Source organism: Homo sapiens, chromosome 4, assembly GCF_000001405.40.
Source record: "Homo sapiens chromosome 4, GRCh38.p14 Primary Assembly".
NCBI classification, from domain to species: Eukaryota; Metazoa; Chordata; class Mammalia; order Primates; family Hominidae; genus Homo; species Homo sapiens.
In genome coordinates, this window is record NC_000004.12 from 48,804,416 (window position 1) to 48,816,563 (window position 12,148).

Sequence of the window (12,148 nt, forward strand, 5' to 3'; positions counted from 1 at the left end):
TGTCTTGCATCTTGCCTTTTTGGCTTTGCTGTATTTCATAGACACCTTTTCATGTTGGTCCATGTATTAATCAGGACTCTTTATAGCAAAAATTAGATGTCAGTTCAAACTACACTAGATTAAAAAAGGATTCCTTTTCTGCAAAGTCCAGAGGTATATCTGTACCCCATGTGCAGCGGGATCCAACTATTCTAAAGATAGCGTCAAGAAACCTCTCTCTTCCATTCTGGTCTCTGCTTTCCTCTGTAGTGACTTCCTTCCCAGGCAGGCACCAACAGTTGAGCAATCCCAGTGGAAGCAGTACGCCTTTTGCCAATACTTTCAGCTCAAATCTCAGCGTGGACGAGAGCCTAGCTTGAGTCGTGAGCCCATAGCTAGAACTAAGTGGTGGAATCAGCCTCAACATCACCACACTAACTGAAAGTGAGGAATGCTTTGTTATCTAAAAGAAAATCAAGGCATTGCTACCAAAAGAAGGAAGAGAGCTGTCTGGGAAGCTGCAACAACAAGCATTTGCTATGGTACATAACGATCTGCTTATGATGTGAGCTAGTTGTTTTTGGCAATTGGATTATAGTTTAGTTCAACTATTCTTTTTAGAATAGTTGCCCTATTGCCCAAGCTGGAGTACAGTGGTGTGATTGCAGCCCACTGCAAATAAATATGGAGGAAGTGACAGCGTGTGACCTCTGACACTAGGTCATAAGGGCATTGCAGCTTCCTCCTCTCTTTCTCAAATCAGTCACTCTGCAGAAGCCTGATACCTGATCATGAGGACACTCAACCAGCACTAAGGAGATGAACTGAGGCCTCTGCTAGCAATCATGTCAGTAAGCTGCCTTGGAAGTGGATACTGCAGCCCCAAGAGAGCCTTCAGATGACTGTAACCCCAGCCTACCTCTTAATCACAGCCTGGTAAGAGACCCTGAGCCGAACCACACAGCTAACCCACTCCCAAATTTCTGAGCCACAAAAACTGCGAGATAATAAATGTATGTTGTTTTGAGCTGCTAAATCTTGGAATATTTTATTACACAGCAATGGATAACTAATACAGGGACTATACAGATGGTAAGCAATTTGAATCCTTTTTTGGTCAATTCTATAACTTACTTTGGATAAATGTGAAAAAAGACATAAGATTTTTGGTGTGGTAAAAATCCCAGCTACTCAGGGGAGGATCACTTGAGCCTGGTAGTTCAAGACTGCAGTGAGCTGTGATTGGGCCATTGTACTCCAGCCTGGGTGACAGAGCAAGACCCCCATCTCTTAAAAAAAAAAAAAATTATCAGAAATCTCTCTTGTCCCTTTTACGCAAATTTTCCTTTGTATTCTATATTCCAGTTAACAGTTGTTTAGAAAAAAAATTTTTTAATGCTGAGCAATTTTATTTTTGTATTTTAGGGGTATATGAATTATACAGTTATATGCTGGCTTTATAAATTAATGATCTCTAGAAAAGATAATATTCATACTCTGTTTTCTAAAATTAAAGCCATCTCAATTTTCTTCATTCAGTTTCATGTCCGGCTTCTTTAGCATTTGTCATTTAAATTTGGAAAAACAGGCCGGGCATGGTGGTGGCTCACGCCTGTAATCCCAACACTTTGGGAGGCCGAGGCAGGCAGGTCACCTGAGGTCAGGAGTTTAAGACCAGCCTGGCCAACATGGTGAAACCCCATCTCTACTAAAAATACAAAAATTAGCCATGCACGGTGGCAGGCGCCTGTAGTCCCAGCTACTAGGGAGGCTGAGGCAGGAGAATCGCTTGAACCCGGGAGGTGGAGGTTGCAGTGAGCCGAGATCACGCCCCTGTGCTCCAGCCTGGGTGACAGTGACACTCTGTCTCAATAAATAAATAAATAAATAAATTTGGAAAAACATTTTAAAGAAAATATTCTAGTTTTTTGCTTTGATTAAAACACCTTTTTGGACAACTTTGGAAAAGGACTTTCCATTTTGTTAGTTTTCATTCTTTTCCAAAATCACTTTTATGATTTTTTTTTCTTTTTCTCTTTTCTACTCAGGAACACTCTACCTTTTTCTTGAAATTTATAAAGAATGTTTAAAACTCATTTCAAATTCTGGATTTTTAAAATTAGACCACAGATACACAGAATAAGATTGATTTGGCTCATCACACTGTGGTTGATAGCACAGAATTATCACTGCCCTTGCCCTTTTAAATTAACTTTTTTTTTCTTTTTTTGACATGGAGTCTTGCTCTGTTGCCAGGCTGGAGTGTAGTGGAGCAATCTTGGCTCATTGAAACCTCTGCCTCCCAGGTTCAAGCGATTCTCCTGCCTCAGCCTCCCGAGTACCTGGGACTACAGGTGCGTGCCACCATGCCCAGCTAATTGTTGTATTTTTAGTAGAGATGAGATTTCACCATGTCGGCCAGGATGGTCTCGATCTCTTGACCTTGTGATCCACCCACCTCGGCCTCCCGAAGTGCTGGGATTACAGGCGTGAGCAACCCAGTCCAGCTTTCTTTTCTTTCTTTTTTGAGGTAGGATCTCACTCTGTTGCCCAGGCTGCAGTGCAGTGGTGCGATCACAGCTCACCGCAGCCTCAAACTCCTGGGCTCAAGCGATTCTCCTGCCTCAGCCTCTGGGGTAGCTGGGACCACAGGCACACACCACCAACAGGTGGCTATATTTTTCAATTTTTTTGTAGAGACAGAGTCTCGATATGTTACCCATGCTAGTCTCAAACTTGTAGCCTCAAGTGATCCTCCTGCCTCAACCTCCTGAGTAGCTGGGACTACAGTGCTTATGAATTTGTTTAAAATGCAGGTTCTGATTGAGCAGGTCTGAGTGGGAGCTCAGGAGCAGTTCAGGTTTATAGTGAGCTACGATTGAGCCACTGCACTCCAGCCTGGGTGAAGAGCAAGATCCTGTCTCAAAAAGAAAAAAAAAAAAATCTGAGAGGCACTAATCTAGAGCATGGACTAGATCTAAATCCTGGATCTACTACTTATTAGCAATATGAACTTCAGTAAATTACATGCCGCCCTTGTATCTCAACTTCCTCATCTATAGAGTGAGGATAATAGTACCAAGTATCTATCAGGTTGTTATAAGGATTCATATTATATTGCTCTAAAGTGTTTAGAACAGTACCTGACTCATACTAAGTGTGTAATAAATGTTAGGCATTAATATTAATTCCCTTTCTTTCTTGCCTTTTTTTAAAAGTATGTTTCTTGATCTCTTCTTTCCATCATTTTAATCACTGGTTTCCGGTTGCAGGCTGGCCCAAGCAAAATCAACTGAGAGCACTTAAAAATTTAGATTCCTTCTTCTCATCTCTGATGATTCTGCTTCAGTAGATTTGGGGAGGGGCTCCAGAGAATCTGTATTTTTAAAAACTTCCCAAGGTGATTTGATGCTCAAAGCCACTGCTTCAAACGTGGGTGTTTCCCAGGGTTCATTTCACTCTTTTGCTACTATGACATCAACTTCATCTATGGCCTGATGTCTCTAGACCGGATGTTTTCCTGAGCCCCAGATCGGCACTGTCACTTTGTATCAGAATAATTTTACATGTATCATTTTATTTAGTTCTCAAAATAAGAGGTGGATACTATTAAAATACTATTTTTATAAACAAGGGGACCTAAGCATACTCAGTGTCATAGAGCTAGTAACTCCAGACAAATACATCCAACTGTTCACTACAGCTCTCCACTTGGGTATTCTGCTATGTTTTGTGTATACTCTCTCCAAAACCCAGATGTTGCAAATGTGATGATATTAAGACATGGGGCTAGCCAAGTACAGTGGCTCAAGCCCATAAGCCCAGCACTTTGGGAGGCCAAGGCAGGAGGATCACTTGAGCCCAGGAGTTCAAGACCAGACTGGACCAGGTGGTGAAACCTCATCTCTACAAAAAATACAAAAAAATTAGCTGGGTGTGGTGGCATGCATCTGTAATCCCAGCTACTCAGGAAGCTGAGGTGGTTCAACTACCTGAGCCTGAGAGTCTGAGGCTACAGTGAATGGTGATTGCACCACTGCACTCCAGCCTGGGTGACAGGGTGAGACCTTACTTCCAAAAAACAAAAAACAAAGAAAAAAAAAAGGAAAAAGATGGTGCCTCAAGGGATAATCCCCTGAGGGCTGCTCCCTTATTAATGGGATTAAGGACCTTACAGAAGAGGCATTGCAGCATTTGGCTGGCTTGCCCTAACCCATTCCTCCACATGAAAACATAGTGTTCCTCCCCTCTGAAGAATGCAGCCCTCACCGTACAATTGAACCTGCTGGTGCATTGATCTTGGACTTCCCAGCCTCCAGAACTATATGATATAAATTTCTGTTTTTGGTAAATTACCCAGCCTGTGGTATTCTATTATAGCAGCACAAAGAAACTAAGACAATTGTAAACTCAGCACATCCAGCACTCAGCTGATATACTTCTCTCCCTCAATCAAAATTTTCTCCCTCTAGTATTCTCTATGGCAGTCAGGGGTTCTACCACCCAGTACTGTTACCAAACCTGAGAGTCATTCTTGTCCTCTTCCTCTTTAACAACCCTCCTTAGTTGGTAACCACGTCCTTTTGATTATATGTTTTTATGATTTCTTAAATCTGTTCACCTGTATTCATCACCACTTCAACCATCTTAGTTCAAGCCTTCATTTTTTTCCTTGTATTACTAAAACAGCCTTAGTTAATATAGCTGTTTTCCTTTCCTTTAATTTAATCTGTTACCTACACAGCTCATAGTGATTTTTCTACAATTCAAACCTTATTTTATTTCCATTTCCTTGTTTAAAATCCATCTATGGCTTCCCTATTGCCTTCAAGATAAAAATGTAAAGGCCAGGCGCGGTGGCTCACGCCTGTAATCCCAGCATTTTGGGAGGCCAAGGTGGGCGGATCACCTGAGGTCAGGAGTTTGAGACCAGCCTGGCCAACTTGGCGAAACCCCATCTCTACTACAAATACAAAAAAATTAACTGGGAGCGGTGGTGGGCGCCAATAATCCCAGCTACTTAGGGAGGCTGAGGCAGGGAGTACTGCTTGAACCCGGCAGGTGGAGGTTGCGGTGAGTCAAGATTGCGCCACTGCACTCTGGCCTGGGTGACAGAGTGAGACTCTGTCTCAAAATAAATAAATAAATAAAAATAAATAAAAAAAGTTAAAATGTAAAATCCTAACTATGACATTTGAGGCCCTTCATGATACGGCCTCTGTCTACCTTATCAGCTCTTATCACCTTCTCTCTGCCACTTTATTCTCTAGCTATTACTAATAACATTTGTAGGATGCCCAAGCACCCCACTCTTTCACCTGTTGGTGCATATGCTGCACTTTCTGCCCTAAGCACCCATTCCTTTGTTCTTCCCTTGGCTAACTAATTGTGGTCCCTCAAAATCACCTTTCCCAGAAAGTTTGCCCTGCTATGTTTTCCTCTAATAACCTAGGCTCCCTTTAATCACAGTAGTGACTTATTGCATTATATGTTGCAGACTTAAGTACTTAACTATATGAGTTCCAAAATCAGACCGTATGGATTTGAATCCTAGTATCACTGGTTACTAGCTCTGTGACATTGAGTGTGCTTCTTAATTTCAGTGCTTTGGTCCCCTTGTTTGTAAAATATTATTTAATAGTATCCACCTCTTATTTTGAGAACTAAATGAAATGATACATGTAACATTCTTAGAACAGTGCCTGGTGCTTGCGAAATATTAGATATTATTATTATCTCTGCCAAAAAAATCTAGATTTTTAGGAGCAGAGTGCGTTAGCTTTTTAGGAACTCGGTGTGTGTGTGTGTTTAAGAGATGAGATCCCAGCACTTTGGGAGGCCGAGGCGGGTGGATCACGAGGTCAGGAGATCGAAACCATCCTGGCTAACACGGTGAAAACCCGTCTCTACTAAAAACACAAAAAATTAGCCGGGCGCGGTGGCGGGTGCCTGTAGTCCCAGCTACTCGGGAGGCCGAGGCAGGAGAATGGCGTGAACCCGGGAGGTGGAGCTTGCAGTGAGCCAAGATCGCACCACTGCACTCCAACCTGGGTGACAGAGTGAGACTCCATCTCAAAAAAAAAAAAAAAAAAAAAAAGAGATGAGATCTTGCTGCATTGTCCAGGCAGACCTCGAACTTCGTGGGCTCAAGGGATTCTCTTATCTGTCCCTGGCATATGATATATACTCACCAATGACTACAATTTATTTATTTATTTAGTCTTTTAGGAAATATTAGTTGAGCACCTGAGCGTCAGGCACTGTTCTAGGCACTAGGGATGCATCAGGGAAAAAAATTAAAATCCTGCCTCATGGTGCTTACCTAGAGAGAGACAAGGAATAAGTAAAACAAGAGGTTAGACTGTAGTAAGTGCTACCGAAGTGGAGGAAAAAAAGGCAGGAAATAGAAGGGGGATAGGAAATGTCTGCAGTGGGTAGTGATTGAGGATGGGAGATAAAGAAGAGAGGAGTTGCAATTTTCTTTTTTCTTTCTTTCTTTCTTTTTTTTTTTTTTTTTTTGAGACGGAGTCTCACTCTGTTGCCCAGGCTGGAATGCAGTGGCATGATCCTCTCACCTCAGCCCTACAAGTAGTTGGGACCACAGGCACACACTACCATGTCTGGCTAATTTTTTGTGTTTTTAATAGAGACAGAGTTTTGTCATGTTGTCCAGGCTGGTCTCAAACTCTTGAGCTCAGGCCATCCATCCACCTTGGACTCCCAAAGTGCTGGCATTACAGGCGTGAACCATTGCACCTGGCCTGATCCCTTCTCATTAGATCTCCCACTACCACATTGATTCACATCATCGTGATCTCTTGCCTAACTTATTGCAGAAGTCCCCTAACTGGCCTCCACGTCTTGTTTCACTTTACTCTTAACACAGTAGCCAGAGTGATCTTGTTAAAATCCAAGTCAGATAGCCACTCCTTTGCTCAGACCCTCCAAATGGCTTCCCATTTCTCCAATAAAAGCCAAAGTCTTTACAATGGCATAGGAGGCCCTGCAGTCTTTCTCTTCCTTTCCTCCAGACCTTATACTCCACCATTCTTTTCCTCATTAATTACACTCCAGCAGCACTGCTCTTGCATTTTCTCAAACATGCCAAGCAGGTACCCATCTTAGGCTCTATGTAATTGCTCTCAGATATCTGCATAATACAATTCACCATTACTGAGCCTGGGAGGTGGAGGTTCCAGTGAGCCAAGATCATGCCACTGCACTACAGTCTGGGTAGCAGAGTGAGATCCTGTCTCAAAGTAATAATAACAATAATAATGAGAAGGGATCAGATTATGGATATACTTTGAAGATAAATCCAATAGGAGTCACAAAGAAATTTTATGTAGAGTGAGAGAGAAAGAAGAGTCAAGGATGCCTCCACAGATTTTAGTCAAATGAAATGGAAAGAGGAATAGCTTTCAAATGAGATGAAGAAGATGAGGAAGACTGAAAAGAAAAGTTTCATTTTTTTTTTCTGTTGTGGTGTCAAAGACCAGGAATTTGGTTTGAGGTATGTAAAGTTTGAGATGCAAATTAGATACATGTAGGCAGACATATGTGTCTGAAGTTCCAGAGAGAGGTCTATACTAGAAAACTAAATTTGGGGCTGGGCACAGTGGCTCATGCCTGTAATCCCAGCACTTTGGGAGGCTGAGGCGGGTGGATCATTGAGGTCAGGAGTTCAAGACCAGCCTGGCCAAGGGTGAAACCCTATCTCTACTAAAAATACAAAAAAATTAGCCAGGCTTGGTGATGCATGCCTGTATTCCCAGCTACTTGGGAGGCTGAGGCAGGAGAATAGCTTGAACCCAGGAGGTGGAGGTTGCAGTGAGCCGAAATCATGCCACTGCACTCCAGTCTGGGCAACAGAGTGAGAGTTGGTCTCAAAAAAAAAAAAAAAAAAAAAAAAAAAAAAAAAAGAAAAGAAAAAGAAAACTAAATTTGGCATTTATGATATGGTATTTAAAGCCTTGACACCAGAGGTTACCAAGAAAGTGGCTACCGAGATGTCCAAGGCCTGTCTGAGTCAAAGTGCACCCCAAAATTTGGAAATCAGAAAGACAAGAAAGAACCAGCAAAGGAAACTGAAAAAGAGTGGTCAGTTAGATAGAGGGAAAAAAGAAAAGGGGGCCAAATTTTGGAACAAGAGAAGAGAATAAAGGAGTGATTGACTGTCAAACGCTTTAGAATAGGTCGCATAATACAAGGATAGAGAATTGAAAGATTGATTTAATAACACAAAGGTCATGGAGACTTTGACAAGGACATTTGCTTAGGGTAAAAGTGTTTGGAGTGAGCCCAAGAGAGACTGGGAAGAGAGGAATTGGACACAGGAAGTAGAGATAATTCTTTCAAGGAGTTTTGCCATAAAAGAGCAAAAAAATGAGAATGTGAGGTCAAGAAAAGCTTTGGGATTTTTCTTGCTGTTAAAGCTGAGAATCATAACTTGTTCATAAGCTGATGGGAATTTTCTTACAGTGAAGAGAAACCAAGGATGGGAGACAGAATGGGTCGAACTGCTAGAGGTGGGTACCTTGAGTAGGTGAATACCTTGAGTAGGTGAGAGAGGATGGAATCTACCTCTCAAGTACAGGGCTGGTCTTGGATAGGAGCACAGGCAGAAGAGCTGTGTGTGTCATAGAGGAAAACATACTATACGGGTACAGGTGCAGAAGAATTCCACAGGCTCTTGTCATGACCTCTATCTGGCATGATGCGGGATGGATGTCAAGTTAAGAGCCTGTGGAATTCCGATTGCATCTTTCAAGAAATATCGCAACACTTTTTCTATTACATATTATGATTTTTCATTTAATGAAACATTTTTGAAAGAGTCTGGTATACGTGATACTGTTGATATGGTGTGGGGGTTCCCTTTACTTGTAAGAATCAGTATTGTGGGCAAAACAGGTAAACAAACAATTGTGATGTGGTAAGTGTTATCCTACAGGCATATGAAAATGCTGCAGCAACTGGTTGGGGGTGGTGGCTCACGCCTGTAATCCCAGCTCCTTGGGAGGCGGAGGTGAGTGGATCGCCTGAACTCAAGAGTTTGAGGCCAGCCTGGGCAACATGGTGATATCCCGTCTCTACAAAAAATACAAAAATTAGTTGGGCGTAGTGGCATGTGCCTGTAGTCCCAGCTACTTGGGAGGCTGAGATGGGAGGCTCACTTGAGCCGGGGAGGTGGAGGTTGCAGTGAACTGGGGATCAGATCCACTGTGCTCCAGCCTGGGTGACAGAGTGAGACCCTGTCCCAAAGGGGAAACAAACAAACAAAAACTGGCCTAAAGCTGCTAATATTTTAGTTTTGTGGCCTGCAAACTTCTAGCATTTCTATAACAGGCATCAAACTTACTTCTATATCAGAAAGTATTTGGCTTATGTCAAAGTTTTAAAAACTTTTTTTCATGTGACACTTTTTCTTAAGAGGAGCTCGTGAATAACTATTTAAATGTTACAGTTGGCTTGAATTTTAAACATTTGGTGAGAGTTGTAAAAATATATGTTTTAAACTTTCAGAGAATAAAAATTTAAGACCCACTTTCTTAGAAGTTACTATTAATAAATAAATAATTTTGTAGTTCTAATCTCATTAAAAAAATTTTTTAAGACTGAGATTGATGTGTAGGACCCAGCTGCAAAATTCAAACCAGCTACATGCAGCTGCACTCTGGTTCCCCTAATTCATCTAACAGCTCTTAGTGTGTTCTATAAGTGGCAATAGAAAAGGCACAGCAGATGTGCAAGATGGCTCCTGAAATCTAAAGAGGGACAGATGGTTCTCGGTTTGATTGACAGCATGAGGAGCACTGTAGAAAGGGTCACCTCCTGTGGAGGGGTTTTTTTTTTTTTTTTAATCCTTGCCTCTGCCTGAAAATGAAACTGTCCAAGAAAGAAAAGCAGAGTATGGCTATTCAGAAAGCCTTTTTTTTTTTTTTTCAAATATTTGTTATAGTGAAATTATAAAGTCACCTAGACGTGGAAAAAACTCTCCTCTAACTTTTGACTGAGAGCTGACTCTTCATATTTATAACAAAGTAGACAGATTGGTGTTTGAATGCAATACTCAGAATATTGGAGATAGAGCTGGAATTAAGGCAAAAACAAAAATAACATAATTTACACAACAGCATCGATTAGAGCTGGAATAATGATCACTGGAAGCCCTATTTTCCCCTTAAAAATAAACTTTTTGTTTTAAATTTTAATTACAAAGTTAGACAAATTATTTGCAATAGTTTACCGGGAATGGTTCTAAATTAACAATATAGGCTATATCACTTTTATGCTTACCTCTCTCTCTCTCTTTTCCAAACTCCTTTCTAGTACTTTAAATCTTCAAGAAAAACAAAAAAGAACTCACATTTTCTGCATGCAAACCAAGTCCTGGATGCTGTGTTAGGTACTTTATAACTTTATATGATTTAGTATCTCAGAGGTATTAATAGATTCTTCTTAGGTTCATATTCATACTGACACATGGGCTCCATGATTTTATTGATGCTTCTCTTCATCTTCTGCTGAAAAAAGGAAAACAAGAACAAAATATGCCTCAAAATAATAGTCTATATATTAAGATACATTCTGGGAGTCCAGGATTTGTGAAGTCCTCTTAAACCATTTCTAGAAGAGGCTGGGTGCAGTGGCTCACGCCTGTAATCTCAGCACTTTGGGAGGCTGAGGTGGGCAGATCATGAGGTCAGGAGTTCGAGACCAGTCTGGCCAACATAGTGAAACCCCATCTCTACTAAAAATACAAAAAATTACCCGGATGTGGTGGTGTGCACCTGTAATCCCAGCTAGTCAGGAGACTGAGGCAGGAGAATTGCTTGAAACCAGAAGGCGGAGGTTGCAGTGATCTGAGGTCGCGCCACACTCCAGCCCGGGGAACAGTGTGAGACTCCATCTCAAAAAAAAGAAAAGAATAAATTATTTCTAGAAGAAATTCACACAGTGGCAGATGCAAGATTTCTCTCTAGACAAGACTCAGGATTGACAATGTATTTGCAAGAAATAGCTGGGAGGTAATTGTCTTGAAACTTCATTTGCATGAAACTATGCTTTTTTGGAATGACCTGCAAAACCTGCCAGGGAATTTACATTTCTTGGTAAGCCTGCTTTTTGGAGGATCTTTAAGAAGTGCTGCAGTTTGATAAAAGTCTGAAAACTACAGTAGATCTGACATATGAACAAATATTTACTTCTGTGACTCATGAACTGAACTAGATTCTGATAATGTAGACAGGGCTATCTCAGTTCTTGTAAAATTCTCAAATCTCTACTCCACTGGCTTGGAGGAAATCAAACTGTTGAACTAGACAGCAGCTCAGAAACCCCAGGGTCGCAAATGACTTTCCCTTTCACTTCCCATCGCCTCTGTTTTAATGACAACAAAGCTTTTTGTGGCCAAGGCATAAATTCATTGAATATGAAATATTTACATTCCACCATCTAGTCAACATCATATTCTTTCAGCTCTCCCACATAGGTAATCCCGCACATACCTGTTCTTTGGCATCATACTGACTACTAGATCTTTGATACTCTTAATTTTATCCCTATCTGATTGTTTTCTTTTCATCCCTACTTAGCTTCAATTCCATTGCCAATAATTTCAACCATTCTCTTGCCAATATCTTCAACTACTTTGTCTTTCTGTCACAAATGTATAAAGTGGCCTGTATTCTATAACTTTCATTACCTTCTTCCTGCTAGTCACACAGGATGGGTAAGCCCTTCTCCCATTTATGTCGACTTATCCACCTGTGCATTTCTCGCTCTCTCTCTGTTTAGACATTCTATGCCAATATGTCCCAATCTTTTTAATATCATGGCACACATAGAAAAACGCTAATCTTTGTGCAGTTCATTAGAATAAACTGGAGGCGATCAGGACATCTATATAGCGCTTAGTTGATATATGCTAATGGCAATTAAAAATACAAAATATAGTCAAGAGATTGAGACCATCCTGGCCAAAAAATTAGCTGGGCATGGTGGCACATGCCTGTAGTCCCAGCTACTCAGGAGGCCGAGGCAGGGGAATCGCTTGAACCTGGGAGGCGGAGGTTGCAGTGATCTGAGATCACGCCACTGCACTCCAGCCTGGCAACAGAGCAAGAGTCCGTCTAAAAGGAAAAAAAAAAAAAGGAAGATAATAAAT

General features: G+C 41.3%; 1 protein-coding gene across 1 annotated transcript in view; it reads left to right on the forward strand.

Annotated features, from left to right (window-relative positions):
• The first annotated feature begins 740 nt into the window (after positions 1-740).
• OCIAD1 (OCIA domain containing 1) overlaps positions 741-12,148 on the forward strand; it is a 56,660-nt gene continuing 45,252 nt past the window's right edge. Inside the window, exon 1 of the mRNA XM_047415862.1 lies at positions 741-915. The gene's annotated coding sequence lies outside the window, so the exon portion shown is untranslated. The remainder of the gene's footprint in view (positions 916-12,148) is intronic.